General features: G+C 36.9%; 1 protein-coding gene across 13 annotated transcripts in view; it reads left to right on the plus strand.

Moving 5' to 3' along the window:
- Positions 1-19,813, plus strand: part of ARHGAP15 (Rho GTPase activating protein 15) — a 638,934-nt gene that overhangs the window by 380,989 nt on the left and 238,132 nt on the right. For all 13 annotated transcript variants that reach the window (XR_007078554.1, NM_018460.4, XM_017004500.3 and 10 more), the window contains one exon: positions 8,859-8,957. Coding sequence is in view for 12 of the 13 variants with exons in the window: in NM_018460.4 (NP_060930.3) it covers positions 8,859-8,957 (99 nt within the window). In the remaining variant the exon portion in view is untranslated. The remainder of the gene's footprint in view (positions 1-8,858; positions 8,958-19,813) is intronic.

A 19,813-nucleotide genomic window follows, 5' to 3' on the forward strand; every position in this document is an offset into this window, starting at 1 on the left:
TGACTGGAAGTTATTATGACAATGCTGATGCTGGTGGTGGCCATGAAATGAGCACCCTGACCCAGCTACCAGAGTTAGAAGACAGTCGCTTTTTCTCCTTCTTCCAATTTCATGGCTCCGCTAAGCATCTTCATTTCTGAATATCTCCAAGACTGGTCCCCTAGCCTCTCATAAATTCATTGAATTCCTTCCTACTTCCACCCCTCAACATCATTCAAATAAACTTTCCGTTGCTTAATACAGCCACAGTGTTGTGTTTTTCCGTTGCTTGCAGCCAGAAACCTTAATCAATATACGTCATTACCACGATAGTTGGATAATTGTCTGATTTGTTTTTGTGACTAAGCCATTTGGGCTGCCATTATTGTTTTCTGCTTCGCTCTGTGTTCCGCATGTGTGTGTCCTTCTAGGTGCTTTGTTCTTCCTTTTTGAAGTTTACTAGAATCGCTGCAATGGCCCTCTCTCCTGAAAGCAGAGTCACATCATTTTGAAAAGCCTGTGGAGACTGTCTCCTGCATAAATGATGATAAAACCGTCACATTATTTGAACATTTAACTGCCTCTATTGAGCAGTTGTCCTCATAGTTTTGATTCATTTGGAATCTGACTGACAGAGATCCCATTACTGGGTGTTCTTTCCATAATTTGTCAAAAAACTTATAGCAGTGATGAGGGAGAATGAAACTAATTTGTAATCTGGAAGACTTAACCTGGTTATGCTGATGAACTAACAAAATCGGTCAAAAAGTTTGAGAGCTTAAAGATTAAAAACCACCATTCTCTAGTTAAACACTAATTCATTATGTAAACAACATGATTTATAAGGGCAGTCATGTGGAGGGTCTATTTATTTTTCTCACCAAAAGATGCTTTCAAAGAAAAATTGCAGAAAATGAATTTTTTTTCCCAATCAATGTATATCCTGCCACCCCTGATCATTAAGTGCTGAAACGGTGGGATGAAGATAGAATGATCACACTGGCCAAGGTCACAGGAGTTTGCAGAAGATTCCAAAAATATTGGCACCCCTAGCAAGAGGTGCTTTCTAAATAATATGCATATTTTTATGGTTGTTAAGTGAGGAAGAAAGGATTACCAGTAAGCACACAGATGGGAATATAGGTGGGAAGTCAGGAGCTCAGGGTTTTGGAAGTGTTCTTTTTTGTTTGTTTGTTTGTTTGTTTGTTTTTGAAGAGGAGAGTAGAAATAATCCTTAATGTTGTTCCAGGACAAGAGACATGAGCATTTAGGGGACAAAGTTCATTAATGCTTGCCTGGAAAGCAGAATGCCTTTTCTCTCCCTCCCTTTTTTTATACTATTTTAAGATAGAAGTTTCCATGGCTCAAATGGATTTCTATCATTGAATTGTCCTCCTTGGTGTATGAAACTCTAGGTGTATTAGATTTACAAATGGAGAGCAATCCTACCACAGCACTTAAATTCAACAATGACAGTGTAGTTAAATCTCTGATTTCCTTTCTTTGGACAGCACTATTTACTTTGCAAAGCCATGTGATGTGCATTATCATCTCTTCTCAATTATTTAATTCATTGTCTGTCAAGGGCTAATGTTGTAGTCTACATTCTTTCCACTGTAAATGACAGAAACTTGTCCAAACTGTAAAAGTCAGAATGGAATTTACTAGCTACTTAATTGAAGAGTCCAAGGGACAGGGATAGCTTCAGGCATGACTGGATCTAGGAGTTCAAAATGCTATCAAATATATTTGTCTTCCATCACTCAGCTCTGTTTTCCACTCTTCCAGAGGTGGCAGCATAGCGTCTAGAAGATCAGACTCATATCTTCATAGTTTAATATCTCTCATAAAAAGAGGGTTCCTCTCTCCCAGTAACATCAGAAAAAGTCTCAGGATTTACTTGACAGGATCCACTTGGGCCACATGTTCATGCCTGAACCAATTACTGTGGCCAAGAAGATAAAATGCATATTCGTCACTGGAGATGGAGAGGGTGGAGTCAACACTACCCAAAACAAATGGCAGCAAAATGAGAAAGGACCATCCCCAAGGGAATCTCAGGGTGTTCTTGCCAGAGAATAGGAGGATAGACACAGGACCAGCAAAACCAATTGATATCTACCATACTCTTCCTAGCCAGTGTCATCTGTAAGCAGTGGATCCCATTGAGCTATTTTGCCAGACCTGGTCCTGTTGTGACTGTAATCCCTTTCTTGAAACGTTTGTCCAATGCTACATCCATATTTTTGCCAGGTGTATTTGCTTGCAATAAACAGAAATTTACTCAAGAGTTCTATTAAAATGGGTGGGAGGGGATCTCATGGTATTTATGGAGCTCATGACATGGGTATGGCAAGTGCCATGGCAAGGATACAGAGTGCCTGGAGTAGGCACTGGAAAGTCAGGAGCTGAGTTGGATCTGTTCCATTTGCCTCTCCCTGCAAACTAGTTCCTGTGTCCGCTCATCTGCGGCACATAAGCATCTTCCCAAATTGGCTGTCCCAGCCCCCAGGGTTTAAGTGTAGGCAGCCTAGAGTTCTCATCCCTAGAAACAACCACCTCAGTCTCTCAGTATCCAAATTCTAAATTTTGTAGAAGAAGCGTTGCTTTGTTCAAGCTTGGGGCACATGGTGACCTTTGATGTAACCAAGTTCACCTGAGATACTAGGTTCTTGTACTCCAGAGCCCCACCTTCTTGGGTGAGTACAGCAAGTTTCAAGAGAGGCTATAAGTGAGAAGAACAGTTTTGGCTTTGCTGGTAACTGGGGAAAGCAAACATCTGCCCTCTAGCTAGTGAAATTCCAGATGTCTAGGCTCTTTACTCACCAAGACACCAATGGCAGTTTTTCCCTTGTGAGGGACTGGATGCACTTGCCTGGACCACCAGTAAGTGGCAGTAATGTACCTCCCCCACTTCCAACATTATAACCGCTAAAAATAATCAGCAGTGTACTTCACCCAGCTCCGTGGCAATAAAAAATACCCTGTAGCTGAAATTCTCTCCTATCCATCCCAATTCAAAATCCTCTTCCAGGTCTTATCTCCACTTATAACTAAGTAGTCCCCATATGCTAGCCTTTTCACCTCTAAAGTTCTTAAAATAGGAGTCTATTTGCTGTCTCTACTTCTTCACCTTCTCTTCAAGTCTTAATTACAACTATCTGCTTTTCAGTTTCACTCCTCTACTGAAACCATTTTTCTTAAGGTCACTCATATCCTGAAATTGCCAAAATCCAGCGAACATTTTTCATCTTGATCTCTCATAACCATTCTGCTGCATTTGAAATACTTTTCCTTAATGTCTAAATTCCATTTCCATTCTCAAGACCCTCAAGTAACTGCATCTCTGTCTTCTCCAGTCAAGCAAGGAACTTGGCAGTCACTTTTACCTGGTGGATCAGCTCACCTCCTACACCCACTTGCCAAACCCGACTGAATCACTCCTTCTTGCCATGACAGGTTTATTGTCTTAGTTCGGGTCCCCATCCTCCCTCCCCCAAGAGCCTAATGCTCTGTGACCTTTCACAAATAACTCAATATCTCTGGGCCTTAGTTCCCTCTTCTGTAAAATGAAGATGATGATAGTATACACGCTCAAAGGATTGCAGGTGCATGTGAGAATTAAATGTTAGAATATATAAAGTACTTTGAGCCCTGCTTGGCTTAGTGTAGTGTACAATAAACCCTCACTATTTTTTTACACGTATCTGCAATAGCATTAGTCATATTATGTTGTAGCTGCTTGTGACAGTTATTCTGTCCACCTAAACTGTAGGAGATGGTGCATCATTACATTTTCAGGCTGGCACACAGTGTCTGGCTTATAACCTGCATGAAATAGTTACTGAATGAATAAAGCAATCTTTGCATTATTTACAATATGGAGCACATGGTAGGTGTTCACTAAATAGTCACTGAATGGAATTGGATGGAATTGGGTTAATCTGGAGAGAATGCAGAAGAGGTGCCATAAAATTTGGTAAGGCATAAATAATTTAAATTTTAAGGTGAAAGTAATTTTCTTTGAGACTCCTCCTGAGGATTGAAATTAAACTGAAGGCATAACTCCACATTCTTAGCAAATTTAGAACTTTTTTTTCTGTTTTGTTCACTCTCCAGTTTTAGTTTCCATGTCCTGCCAACCCTCTTTGTTTTCATTCTCACAGCATAGCTTAGATCATATTTCACCAAAAACCTGGACTCATCACCACCTATGTGAGTAAGCTATTGCTACATGACAAACAAACATAAAATCTCAGTGGCATATAACACCGAGCATCTATTTCTCATGTGTCTGTGGTGCAGGCTTGACTGGGCCACTCTGCTTTAAGCTGCAGGTCTGACTGGACTTGTCTCTTCACTGAGGGTTGCCCTCAGTTCTGTGCCATATGTATGTATTCTGGAGCCCAGGCTGAAGGGGCAGCAGCTCCCCAGGGAAGCTCTTCTTTGGCAATAGCAGAGAAACAAGAGGATGAGTAGAAATCTGCAATGCGTCTTAAGGCCTCAGTCTGGAACTGACACATTTCCACTCACATCATTCCAAAGAAGACATTTGGCCGAGCCCAATATCAAAGAAATGGGGGAAAATAAACACTGCACACTCTATTGGGTGGTACGAGATGGTTCCATGGCAAAGGAGGTGAATGTATACATCTAATTCAGAGAAGACAAGAAGGATTGTGCACAGTGATTACACCTATCACACCCTTATCCTGATTCTGGTCTTCGTAACATCTTTCCTAGGTAATCACATCAGTCGTTTAACTAATCTCCTTGTGCTTCATCTTCCCCACTATATTAACCCCCCCACCCTCCCTTTTCTTTACAAAGTGCTACCAAGTAAACCTTCTCAAGTAGAGTATGATTATAATGATCACTTTACTAAAAAACCACAATCACTTCCTAATGTCATGTCATATGCTTTTGGCTGCAGATAATAGAATACCTAGTTAAAAATGACTTCTTTCATATGAAAATAAGTCTAGATAAGGTGTTTTAGTGTTGGTTTAAAAGCTCAGAAGTGTCATCAGGGTCTCAAGTTTTGTTGCTTATTTTTAATACATTAGCTGCTGTTCTTAGCACTCATTGTCTCATGGTGACAAGATTGCTGCAATAGCTCCAAGCATCACATCATTGCAAAATGATATTCAAAGATGGATTAAAAGAAAAAGAAAAAAGACTTCTTATATATCCCTTTCCTTTCTTCAGGGGAAACAAATCTTTTGCTATATAGTCCTGAGTCACTTTCCTAGACATTTCATTGACCAGAGCTATCTAATCACCCAAAGTTGCAGAGCAGGTAAAAATCAATAGAGATGATTTTCACTTTCTGTCATATGAGTGGCTTCTAAAAACAAGAAAGAAGGTGGGAGAGGAATTACTTATATGTAGAAAATCAATGGTATCTGCACACTCTCAAATAATTTAACTTACCTGGCAAGATTTAAGATGCTTTATAACATAACCTCCATCTCTTTTATAACTTAATACATCAAGATTTCTCTAAGAGTGAATGTATTCCTCGGCATACCCCAGTCTTCCTATCATTCTTCCCATCATTCATGCATTTGTTTCCTTCCTTTCATTCCCGAAAATGCTCTTTGTTCCCTCTTTTACTTGTCTTTCCTTATCTTTGAGGATTCAGTTATTCAGAGAAGGGAAGCACTCAAGGCTGATCTGTTGCCCCACCACATGCTCCCACATTGCCTCTGCGTTTCCCCAGTTATAGCAGTTTTCTCATGATAAAATGTTCTTACCTGTTTACTTATATACTGCCTCTACTGGGCAAAGATTTAGAAAATAGGGAATGAGTCTTGGTTGTTATATTACCAGAGCCTTTCCTAGCTCTAAATACAGTATAGCCACTCAAGATGTTCTTTTGCAAATAACTAAATGAATAAAAGAGTAAATTCCCTGGAATGCTGTTGTCTGTATCTTCTCATATCCACCTGTCTAAAACAAAACAATTTCTCCAAACACAAACTCTCTCTCTCCCACCCTCTGTTGTACAAACATACACACACTGCACACCACGTCTACACTAAATGACACAAAAAGACCTCATACTAAAGGACATTTTTCTTAGCATTCAGTACCTTTTATGACACCTGCTATATTCTTTTTTTTGTATATTCTTTGAATACTTTTATTAGCCCCCTATAATATTACAAACTTCTCGATATTGTTTTTACAACTCAATATGCCTACCTCATTGCTGTGAAGATAGAAGATAATATTTGTGAAATTGATTTGAGTAATAAAATCCATTAATGGGTTTTTTACTTTATAGCAATTCTTCTTCCTGACTGTAATCTCCAGACAATGTAAATCATTTGATCTGATCTACTGGGTTATTTTTTCCTAGATAATATTTTATGTCATTCTTTCTTGGAGTGGTTACACAGTGTTTTGAACAAGTCATTGTTACTTGACCAAAGTATTCAAAGCAAATGCCCATTACTATTTCCCACTTCTCTATACTATGTCCATGTGTTTTGAGCTTCTTTCTGTTACTTGGATAAAAATGCACATTTCCATATTGGAGTTTTGTTTTTGTTTGTTGTTGTTGTTGGTGTTGTTTTGAGATGGAGTCTCACTCTGTTGCCAGGCCTGGAGGGCAGTGGCGCGATCTCAGCTCACTGCAACCTCTCCCTCCGGGTTGAAGCAATTCTCCTGCCTCAGCCTCCTGAGTAGCTGGGACTACAGGCACGCGCCACCATGCCCAGCTAATTTTTGTATTTTTAATAGAAACGGGGTTTCACCATGTTGGCCAAGATGGTCTAAATCTCTTGACCTCATGATCCGCCCACCTCAGCCTCCCAAAGTGCTGGGATTACAGGTGTGAGTCACCATGCCCGGCCTGGAGTATATTATTAATAGTGTTTTAGCTTTAATTGTTCCCTCCATGTTGGGTTGTCACCAATTCAAACCATTATGTTTTCCTAAGAAATAAATGAAAATTATGATTCATTGAATTCTCTCTACACTCGATTTTGAGTATCCCCTTATAACAATATATATCACTGAACATTATTTTATGCTGCATTATTATTCTATCTAATTTTACATATACTTTAAAAAATGTATTGACTACCTCCACTGATGGTTAAGATGATGTCTTGCAGTCCCTCATTCTACAAATGTTTATTGAACTTCTAGTATGTGCCAACACTGTCTAGGTACTCAGGATCCAATAATAAATGGTTGAGATATGACGCCTACTCTCCTGGGTTTTGCCTTCTAAGCAAGGGAAACAGCTAAGCAGAAAACATTTCAGTCTCATATGTCAAGTGGAGATATGTGCTCTAAGAAATGTAAGGCTGGGAAAGTGGCATAGAGAATGGCATGGAGTGGAGCCATTTTTTTAAAGGCTGGTAGGAAAGGCTGCAATAAGAAGATACCATTTGATCAGAGACCTAAGGCAATGGAGTTCCATGAAGAAGAAAATGCAAAGTCCCTGCAGCAGAAGAGTGCTTGGCAGCCATGAGAAACAGCAATGTGGGGCTATTACAAATTTAAAGACGGGGAGGAAAGACCCAAATGAAATCCATTAATTAGTGGAGGTCAGATTATGTAATACCTTATAAGTTACAGTAGGGACTTTGATTTCATTCTGAGTGAAATGGGAAGCCCTTGGACCCACTAAATATTTGTTTCATTATCAGTAATAAACAGATACTATCTCAATAGCAAAACCCAGAAATTGATGGTGGTGAGGGTTGCACAACATTGTGAATGTACTTAATGCCACCGAGTGGTACATTTAAAAATGGTGGAAATGATCAATTCTATGTTATATGTGTTTTACCACAATTATAAAAAACAAACATCTGTCTTTAAATACTGCAGGCCAGAGTCTGTGCAAGCACTGGTGAAGACATAGATGATTCAGACACTCAGAATCTGCTTTGAGAGAATCTATTCCATATATTATAAATGTAAATACACAATGCAAGGTAGCGTCAATCATGTTCCAAATGAGAGGGCTAGGCTAGGATTTCACAGTGGGTATTCTCGGAAACATTAGTCTGGAGACATGCTCTCTGAAATCAAAGGATGTTGCTCAAATAAGTTTGGGGGAAAATGCATCCTTCACCCCTCATGGGGATTCACAGCACACATTGGCATATCATGGGCTTTAAAAATAAATGCATGTTAAACCTGTCTAACTTTGCAGAACCTAATGATGTGAAACCATTTTGTTCGCAGGCCCTTTTTCCTGAATCATCTATTAACAGCCTGAGGGTCTGGTATTCCAAAGAACCTGTGTCACAGGAGACACAAAGCTGAGATAGGAAGGAGTTAGTGAAGAAAGTGTGATCTGAACTGAGCCCTAAAGGAAAGGTGATAGTTAGATTAGAGAAGAGGAAGGGCATTCAAGGCAGGAGAAATGCTAAGTAATTCACTTCGAAGCAAGTCTCCTAGAACTTGCCTCCTCATATACTATTGAGTTGCAGAATGAATGTCCTAAATATACTGATAACATTGTAATTTTCGTAACCATTAACTGGTAAACTTCTTCTAAAACACTCAGTATACCAAAGACACTAAGATAAATTATTTTGCAAAAATTTTCTCAATTCTTTGTCTTTCCTTTATAGACCACAAAATTAAGGCCCAGAGAGACTATAACTTACATAGTCATCCCTGCCTAATCGATGCCTGAGCGTCAGTTTTCTCACTCTGGGGCGAGGGTCCTGTTCCATCAAGGAGGGAGTTGTGGTCTTCATATGTCTGCCATAGACACTATGGAAATAAAGCAAAAAAAAAATCTTATGCAAGATGAAGATTTCAGCATGCAATGGATATGGAAACGGAATCAAATTAAAGAACAACGCAAGCTTGGATTTTAATGAAGCTCATCTTTGTTTCTTTTGCAGATCAAATTTTTGGCTCTCATCTGCACAAAGTGTGTGAACGTGAAAATTCCACAGTTCCGTGGTTTGTAAAGCAATGCATTGAAGCTGTTGAGAAAAGAGGTGGGTGACTGAATGTGCAGCAGTTCCCCCCATTACTGCACCCTCTACACAACCAATACTCAAGTTAGCAGTGCCACCTGATTTGTCTGAGAAGCCATGCAATTAAAACTTGACTTGTGTTAATCGGTTAAGAGGATCATCTTTCTTATTAACTTCAGTTTGTTTTTACAATAGGGACATTAGTAATTCTCACTAATGTTCTTTTTTGTTTTTAATATTTTGTCTGTCTGACTTACTGTTGATTCAAGTGCAAACTTCTTGTTTTCAAGCCAGTGATAAAACATTCATAAAATATCAGCACTCACAGTGTTAGAACCTTCCTAACATTCATGCTGGTAGACGTTGTGCCAGAACAATTTTTGGTAAGCCCCCAACATTACCCAAGTTAAGCAAATAGCATTCTGAATCACAGACAGTGATATCCCACCTTCCACATGTCTCTGTTCAGTACAGAATACGCTAACGGGTTTTTTCAGGAACAATTAAAAGACACACCTCAAAAGATGACCTTTGATTCCTCTATTTCAGCATTCTGTTTTTCTTCTGAAATTATTTCATCTTACTGAAGGGAACAAAACAAAACCCAACTGAATCATCATTTCTACTCCACTCTATCTGTGGGGTGTTTTTCCTTCAAACTATGACTTCATTCATTCAAGGTCATTTTTCCTGGAAGATACATATAGTAGATGCAGAATCTTAAAAAATGTATTGTATAAAAATGCAAGGCTTCATCACCATCTGTTACAAGTTTACAACATATTCCCAGGATCTAGGGGGATATATATCATGTAAAAGATAGAGGTGTTTTCAGAAAAAAGGATTGGTGAACCTATTCCCATTTCCAGCTCCTAGTCTCTTAAGACAATAGAACCAAGGGGAAAAAATCTTTACCCAATAATCTACTAGGAAAAAGCCATTTTAATTCTCTCAGTGTTACCTGGCTTTATTATAAAAGCATAATAAAAATGGTCTGCAATTTCTAACTCCTGGAAATTCATACTTTAATTATACTGTAAGGACAGCCTTGGGATCCTATTATTCCCCTATCAGTAGGGAATGAGAGAATAACAAGAAGGGGAAGAGTGGGTAGGGAATGTGGATAAAGAGAATGACTTTGGGGAAAGCATATCAACACATCAGAGAGAAGAGCAGAGAGTACAGTGAGAGTAGAAAGCAGCAACTGCAGGATGAACATGAGGAGAGGTATCTGTGAGAAATGAAGTCAATTGGAGTTTAGAGAAAAATGTTTTTATTGCAAGTTGCAATTTCATTTAATTTTATAAGTACATTTTTAGGAATAAATATTCTTTGGTAAGTACTTAAAGACAAAATGGATCACTGAGAATATTATAAAGTTATTATTTCCAATAACTAAATTGTCATCATTTTCAGGAAATCTTCATCCACTTATAAATACTCAGCCCTGACAGTGTGAGCACTATTAGACCAAAAACCCAAATAGGGCGTTGGGGAAGCACATAATAAGATGTGTGCATGTGTAAAGAAGCGCTCCATTCCTCCCGATTTATGTCTCCACCCTAGGCAAAACGAAAAACTGCTAGATGCAGCTTTGCGGTGTGCAGATATTATAATATTGCAGAGTAGAAAACGTCTATAAATAGAAACCATGTCTTTTGTTCATGGCATTTTGTTGGTGATTTTTAATAAAATAAGACAATGTTTTTGCTGACTGGAGCAATCACATCTAGCATTATATTTCATTGTCCCTGTGTTTACTCTTAAAATGAATTTGTAGATCCAGCACTAAACAGGCGCTAATCACACATATGATTATTAAAATAATTCCTAAGCATTTTAATGAAACTCAAAGACTTTCCAATTCCACAAAGCAACTGATAATTCAAAGCACTTTGGCAGCATCAGCTTAAAGGAACCCTATGGAAATATTCAGTAAAAACTAAGAAGCACAAGATAAACCTCTCACATCATTGCAAGATTTACAAGTGTGTACTTTTGATTATAATTTTCTATGATCATTTTGTTGGATTAATATTCTTATATTTATACACCAATTCTATTTACTCAAAGTGTTGTTTTTACGAAATTCTGGCATAAAGCATTTCAGGACAGAAATAATTTATGTGAATCTAAGTCCAATGTTTATGCAGGCTTCTGATGACATTTTATGCTGGGGTTGGTATTAGGAAGTAGCATATAAAGGCGCCAAGTCTCTCAGCATGGCTGGGACTCAGCATATCTGGATCCCTCCTTCTAATGGCCAGATACTCTCCCAGCCAAGAAACTCAACTGCAGAGTCATGGGAAATGCTGATGGACCAGTTATGGGAAAGGAACATTTAATGAAAACTATGTGTTTACTCTCACAGTCTTAGGGAAATGGTCTTGATACTCACTACATCGGCACATTGGCTGTTATAAAAAAGATTTGTTTCCTTCTCTTTTTTTTTCTTGTGATTATTTTTTACTCCTTTAAAAAAACCTACAAATTGTGGCTATATCTCTAAAATGCTTATTAGATGGATGATTTAAAATGAAACATTATCAGGAAGGCAGATCTCACTATTCATTCATTAATTCATTCATTTATCCATCCAGTCAGTCAGTCAGTTATTTGTCTTACCTGTTTGTAATGAACAGAGCCAAATTGCTCACACTTCTGTAGTCTCTCCAAGGAAATTCTACCCAGTACTTGGCAAAAGATGCATTCTTTATTCATCCCTGGTAAAGTGATATTAGTTACATTTTAAATTTTGCAACTTTTGGACATGCCTAGAAGAAAATCTACCAATAAACTGAATGTGAACCAATTTAGCTAATAACTTGTTTAGTATGTTTCCTTATCTTGATTTGGTTCTCTTTATTACTCTAAACTACCAGAGCATTCTCCTTCTCACCAACTATTATAACTAGATTAACTTCATTTCTGTGGTTTCTGACATTGTCTGCTGAGCCTTGAAAATACAAGCAAAATTTGGAAGACAAACTGTTAAGGAGCATGTTAGTCTTTAAAGCTCTTCCAAGTGGTTCCTTCCCGCTTGCCTTGCCTTTATAGTCGTAGAGCATGTATATGAGAAATCATAATTAGCCAATGAAAAACTCAACTTATGTTTCTTTTTTGAAGCAATTTCTGTGAAAATATTAAAACACGGTTCTGCTAATTCTTAATTCATATCCTGGGTACAATGACCAAAAGCATGAGATCATCTGACACTATTTTGGAGGTTTGAGGAAACAAGCATGTAGAGCAGGGGTATCTAATCTTTTGGCTTCCTTGGGTCACATTGGAAGAAGAAGAATTGTCTTGGGCTACACATAGCGTTACATACACTAACGCTAACAATAGCTAATGAGCTTTAAAAAATGCAGAAAATCTCATAATGCTTTCAGAAAGCTTACAAATTTGTGTTGTGCTGCATTAAAACCCCTGGGCCATGGGTTGGGAAAGCTTGATGTAGAGGAAGGCATTGTGACATATAGTAGATACAAGCAGTGAGAAGTTCATTTTTCACTATGTTATAGAACACTTTGTGTAGTTTATGATGACGTCATATGTGTAGAAATTGCTTACTTAAAAATGCGATCACCTGTGTCTCTTAGATAGAAGGGCCTAGGAGACCTGAAGTAAACAAAGTATATATTTTAAACTGGTATAACAAGTAAGACCTTAATTCATAGTTCTTTTTATGCAAAGCATGTAATTGACTATCCTTTGTTGAGGTCCATTATTTGGAAAGAAGCTTTATACAGCACGTGACACCTTGTAAGTACTCAATAAATATTGGTTAAATGAAGCAATCGAAGCCAAATAGCTATTGAGTACCTACTTTGTGTCATCTTCCATGTTACCAGCTGATAATACAGAGGAGATAGACATTAAGCAAACAGACACACACGGTTATGTATGTTAGCATAAACTGTGATAAGTACTATGAGAGAAAAGAACAGACCCTACAAGACAGAAGAACCATAACAATAATAAAAAGCAGGGAAATACGTGTGTTTAAAAATGATGTAATAAACCTTGAACGATAAACACATATTTATCTGGTTTTATCTTCATTATAAGACCAGGAGACATTTAATTTTGCCTTATTTTGCAAGTTATTTTCTTAACATTGTGACTATGTGATATAGGGAGTCCTTTGGTGTGAGATCTAAAAGGACATGCCTTAAGTGGCGAACCAGTCATGTTTCTACCCAATAATACCAAACATGCATTTTGCCAAATAGATATTTTATATAAGAGTAGTGTTAACTAGATAAATGAGCATATTTCTACCCTAAAGATATTTTTATGGATCCAAAATTTTTTTGGTTTTAAGGGAATAACATTAATTTTTTTAAGTTTGTAATATAATTTAGATTAGCATTCATTTGGAATATGTCTTAACTCATACTTCCTTCATGATTCCCGGTTCTGGTTAATATGTACCCAAACTATTTTAAAACATTAAAATGATACCTAGAGATTTATTGTACAACAGTGTGAATATACTTAGAATTACTGAACTATACACTTAAAAAGGATTAGGAAGAGAAATTGTATGTCATATGCTTTTGACCACAATTTTTTTAAAATGAAATCATGTTTTTCAAATGTGATAATTCCAGGTATAAGCAACTTTGCAGAATGCCTCAGCAGATGCTAATCAACAAGAAGTTTGCCCTTTCTGTCTTTTTTCTGGAACACGAAATACTATGACAGGAATGGTACACAAAGTTACATATTTGACTTGGTGCCTAAAAGCCACCCTGGGATCCATAACCTTGCTTAAAGATTTAAGAAAGACCTTTAGTCTACTTCTGAGAAGGTCCTTAGCCTCAAAAACTTTATCTCTCAACTTGACTTCTTAGCAGCTGTTATATTTTTTTTGCTGTCGTTTGTTTGACAGGATCCAGTTATAGGTTCCGATGTCTGTTTAAAGAAACAAGGAGGCTGTTGGCTTTAAAATTCCCTCATTGCTTGTGTGATCAGCATTTTCCCAGGCTTTTCTACATAGTTTGCCAAGCAAAGGGACTGACCTTTTGTAGCAAACACTTTTTCATTTCAAAATGCTCACTTTGATTTTTGTCCCATTTTATGCTCATTCCAAACTGTTTACAACCCACTAAAAATGACTGTGAATTATATGTTTGTGTAATGGATTCCTTTTGTGGTCTGAGTGGAATGTTTACTTTGAACAATTAGTTATCTTTGGGTAGATTATAGCAACTTGGAAAAAGGATGGCTAAAATTATTATTATACCTTAACTGTTTCTTTTTTGGTAATTCCTCTACTGTTAGGAGAAGTTTGAGAGAATATGAAATTAACAAGCCTGTGACATTATAAATGAAACCTGTTTAATTATGTGACTATTTGGATATGTGTGTTAATATCACGAGAAAGCGTGGCTGGACACCTACTCAACTCAGTAATATACTTATCTAACAAAAATGTAAAACTTGGCATGTAAATAAATACATGAATATTTGCCATATACATGTTGCATTTGCATATGCACATGAATGTGTTATATAAATAACAGACATGTTAATACAGCTATTGTACAGTACCCATTGTACAGTATAGTAGCAAGCATTGTAGTTGTTAATATAATTTTCCTGATATTTGATCCAGTGCACCAGTCTGCCTCTTGAGATCCTACCGAGTGCTTACTTGCAAAAATCAGACTTTACATAGTTGTTTCCCGTTGCCTTTGAATCCAGGCCCCGAAACTGCAGATCATATTGCCTTCCCTAGACAAGCTCTGCTCCCAGTTCTGCTAATTTTATACTGTTCATTCTTTCCCACTTTGGGATAATCTATTATAGTTGGATCCAGGCACGCACTAAAGGCTGATACTTCCATGAAGAATGTGCAATTTGTACTGTTAAGTTTGTGATGAGATTCTTGAAAACTTTTATGATTCTATCTTGTTCCAGAGAGACTTCTGCTTGCTAGTTTTATAAGCAGTGAGTAAAAAAAAGTAACAAAAACAAAACAAACTGATAAAAATTACATGCTCCAAAAAAAAAAAAAATCAAGAGTACAAGATAAGCACTTTTTCTTTTTCCCTGGAGAATATTTGTGGACTGAACAAAAATGTTTCTGAGGTCAGTGACCTATGTTTTTGTTTTTTTTTTTAAGTGTTTGCTTTTCATGCCTTATGTTAGGCATCTGCATGCATTTACAATGGAGGTGATCTTAAAGAAGCTCCATGAAAGTTTGCAGTGAATCTCCTTGGCTTTTCTGAGTTAAAATTAAGACCAGTTTAGTGCTTTGGTGTTTTGTGTTTTGTTCTGTTTTGTTTTAATGCAGCCACAAAGACTGCCACCTTCCTGACAGCACAGTGTTGTGCTGGGTCCAAGCTGGAATTGGCTCTTTGGGGTAGTCACGCTGGGGCCTCTGTGTCTGTAAGAAAGCCACATTTAGGGCTCGAGGGGAAGACAAAATCAAAAAAGAATAAACAGGAAACAGCCAGCAAGAGTATAAAAGAGAAACTAGGAAAAGACAACCAAAAGAAATCAGAGATGACAAGGTGGAGAGGCGGGGGAAAAGCTGCATTTTGCAATTAAGAAAACAAATGTGGATAAGAGGACATGCTTGTGAGGTCTGTAAGAAAGAGAAGACAAACTAGTGAAAACATTGCCATCTCTGCCATAGGTACCTGATACCTGCTTTGCTGTTCCAGAGAAACTTACTTATGCTCAAGAAAATGCTTGAAACTTAAACCTTGCAATTTATGGCATGCATTGAATGTTCACAAACTCTGTATACGGAGCTGGTTATTAATTAATTCACATATTTATTAGTGACATTTAACAGAGTTTATCTATGTCTAGCAATGCATGACAGTCTTATTATCAAAAAGAAAGCTTAAACATAACAGAAGTTAATGTAGGAATAAACGTGCAGTTCAACAACCAGAGAGGCTATCTAAGAAATACAGCAATGTGGCTCTGGTCAAATCAGTCAGCGGATATTCCCACACTTTAAAATCCACAATGCATCAGAATAAATAATGTCGCTTCCCAGATACAGCCTGAGTCTAATTTCCAACCTCCACCCCCAATGTAAAGTTTAGGTTCTTAACATACTTTTCCCTTGGAGTCAGTTGGAAGGAACAGAGCCAAAATTAAGACCCTAGGAAATTAGCTTCTTATTGTGTATGGGGAATTTAAATAATGCAACACCTCAACTTACCAAGATGCAATACTCTCAAATAGCCTATACTGGTGTCATTTACACAGTGGGAGTTCTAGGACTGGGAGTTTTCCCATTACAAGGCCCTATATGCAGAACTTAAGAGTTCCACCATAAAAATAATCTTGGCTGAAAGTTAGCAGGATGTTTTAGCCTGGAAGCAAATGTTTACAAAATTTGAGAAAAAATTGCATGCATTTGGAAAGCTTTCAGGTTTTCAAAAAGCAGAAGCAAATAATAATAAGGCAGTCAGAGATTTTCAGATTTTTTTGCCCTAGCATTCAAAAACTGACTTGTAGCTTTTCAGTAGAAATGTTTTGATTCTTGTCCCATAATATGAACTGATTGATTAAAAATAATCAACTTTCACAACAGTGTCACTCTGTTTTATGAAATAATTTGTTGTTTACTGGTAGAAAAAGAATCTATACATTGTATTTGTGTAGGTATTTCCCTAGGGTTTAAAAATTAATGATAATTAAGAAACCAAATTAATTCAGGAAGCTATAAATGAAACCCAAATATTATACTCCTTTGTGGATTTCCTAAAGCATGATGTTCTTTTTTAAAGTTTATACCAAAAAAAATGACATTTTCCAAGGGATTTTTATACTTTCAAATTGTATACTCAATTTAAGCATTAATCAATTAGTCTACACATATATGGTAAAAGAGACATACAGATTCCAGGTGAAATAATTACAGTGGTCTATATGAATGAACATGACATATTTTTTTGTACAGGATATTTAGAACTTTTTACCCATTTCCTTAAAAGACTCATGTCTTAGAGATTCCTCTAAATTCTTTGGGAGGTTATCTTATAGACGAGTAGGCTATACAGTTAAAGATGTTTTTCTTGGGTTCAAAATAATCATTTATTTTCTTGTTTTATCTCTCTTTGCCTGATTTTATACGTTTCAAGTCGCTTCCTATTTTTGGTTCAGAAAAAAAAAATGGAAAAAATCAAGGGCTGGACACTTTGAGAAAAAAACCTAACTCTGCAAAACCAAAATAGCTCTGAAATGATAATGCTGGAAGAATTCTTGAGGTTATAGTAGACCAGAGACCCAATATGTAAATACACACTCTTTTTTAAGAAGATAATAATGTCCTATATCTAGGGTGTAAGTATATCTTATAGAAGAAAAATATTTAAAATATTAAGTACATGATGTGCTCCCTCGTGTATAAGCCAACTTCTCATATGGTACCTAACACATAATGAATTCTCAGTAAATGGTGTATAATCAGATAAATTATATTCAACATTGCTGAAATCCTCATTGGAGAGTTGCACACCATTGCTACCGATGCATATAGTTGATAGTATAAAAAGATCAATCACCAACAGTTGTTGGTTGAAGGCAGCTCAGAGAATAACATGGTCTGTAAATCCACTTTTTAAACATTTAAACAAGTTCATTTCTGATAAGAGTATATCATATTGTTCAATAAGGTACCATTCTTGCTATCAATACACAGCTATGCTAAACAATTGAAGTTAGGTTTCCTTAATGATTTTATTTTCATCGATTTTTGGATACTCCATTTAAGTTAACCATCAGCAACTACTAAAATATCCATTCTCTACTCATTTTCATCAGAGGAAGTCATATCCCATTAGGCATTGTTTCAATTCCAATAGCCTGCTGTTTTTAATCAAGTAACTGAATGGTAACTATGACTTGTAATTGACATGCCTGAGAATGGTCAGGCTTAGGCTCAGTTCCCATAACCACACAGCAAGTTAAGCCCCACATCTTTTCCTTTAATTCAGACTTGGAATGCCATGTTAGTGCTGTTTTGTATTAGTTTACTTCCCTGTGAATATATCACCCTCTTGATTCATTGTTTGTTTTCCATGTACCTCTCAGGAAATTTTTATTTGGATGATAATTTTTTTGAGTTGATAGAGACTGTCCAATAATTAAAATAAGAAATATATGGTCAATACACAGGATCTATCAATTTGAAGTTAATGAAGACAGAATACATGATTTTGCTATTGGATATTGATTTCATTTCCTCCAAATTTACTTCCTAGCAGAAAAAAAAAGTTAAACTCTGCTGTTGCTATCAAAAGCTCTGTAAAGACGTTGAATATACCAATGTTATTAAAATTGGACTGTTGTCTTTCTTCTTTTAAAATGATGTTGTTCTTGTTATATTTTGCATTTTCTGACAGTTTGGGATGACTAACTCTTTAGTCTCCCTATAGAACAGTTGCACACCTAACAGATGGTATTGTCACGACAACAGTGAGATTTTTTTCTTCCTTTTGTCTTGAAGGTAGGCATTTGACGATGTATTTGATATTACATAGTCTAATATTGGAGTCCATGTGTTTGGCCTAGAGTTTGACAGCATAAGAAACATTCATTTCCTCTGGATTTAATTATTGACTCTGACATTTCATGCTACTGGTTTTCTCAGGGTGATCTCAATTATACCTAAAGCTTCAGTGAGCCCTTCAATGACTTCAGAGCTCCTATATGCAAATAATTACTCAAGCTGTTTTTTTCCCACTCAGATCCATGGTCTAGAAACAACCCTTCTTGAATTTCCCTCTGTCTCCTCAAACTGAACTTTTTTGAACTAAACTCATCACTTTTCCCAACAAAGATGTTCCTCCTATTTTATTTCTTAACTCAGCCCGCAGCATTACAATCTATATTCCCCATTGCCCTAGAAAGAAATATGTTAGACATCTTAGATTCTTCTCTCTCATTACAGACAGAATCATTCACCAAGCCTCATGAGCTCTACTTTCTTACTATCTCTTGAATCTGGTTCTTCCTTTCACTTTCTGTGACCTTGATTGGGCCTCCATACTTCCTTTTGAGATAAATCTCCTAAGGAGGTCTTTGCCTTTGTTCTTATTTCTGCCCAGGCCACTCTTTTCAATGCTGCCAAAATGATCCCTCTTAAATACAAATAAGATTGTGTTATCCCCTCTTAGAATCCTCCAATGATTCATTGATCTCATAAGGATAAACAAAATTCCACACTAATTACCCCCATAAAAAAGGATAAGCATATGACCTCTGTCTACTGTTCAGCTTCATATCCTTATAAGCTGCTTTCTATGCTCCAGGAATACCAAGTACATGAATTTTTCTAATGGCCTATTCCTTTCCCATGCTTTTCTTTCTCCCTTTTTATCCATCTGCCAAATTCACATTCATCTTCTTGTGAATATCACAAGAATCACCTTCTCCAAGGAATATTCTCTAACTTAAATCCATAACCATCCCGCCATGATCTCTTGAACATCATTAGCCCCTTCCTCCACAATATTCCAGTGACAGCTTTGCTTTTCCTAATAGAGCCCTTATTGCCTGGAACTACAATGGCTTGTTTCATTATCTGTTTCCCTATCTAGAGTGTGAGTCCTTGAGTCTAGGAATTATGGTTGGATCACCCCGTCCCCACAGTGCTTAGCACACTATACCTGGCATATGATAGGGCCTCAATTCATAATGGATGATTAAATGGATGAAGAGACAAATATTATCCAAGCTTTCTGTTTATCCACTCATCCATGCCTCTATCCTTAGAGAAACAAAGCTTACAGATTGACGATTCAGTGACCTGCTAGAAGAGACAATGATTAAATGTCTCTTTAAACATAACGTAAAGTCATATTATCCAGAATGTAAAGAAATTACCTTAAAAGTGAAAGTAA

Source organism: Homo sapiens, chromosome 2 (genome assembly GCF_000001405.40).
Source record: "Homo sapiens chromosome 2, GRCh38.p14 Primary Assembly".
NCBI classification, from domain to species: domain Eukaryota; kingdom Metazoa; phylum Chordata; class Mammalia; order Primates; family Hominidae; genus Homo; species Homo sapiens.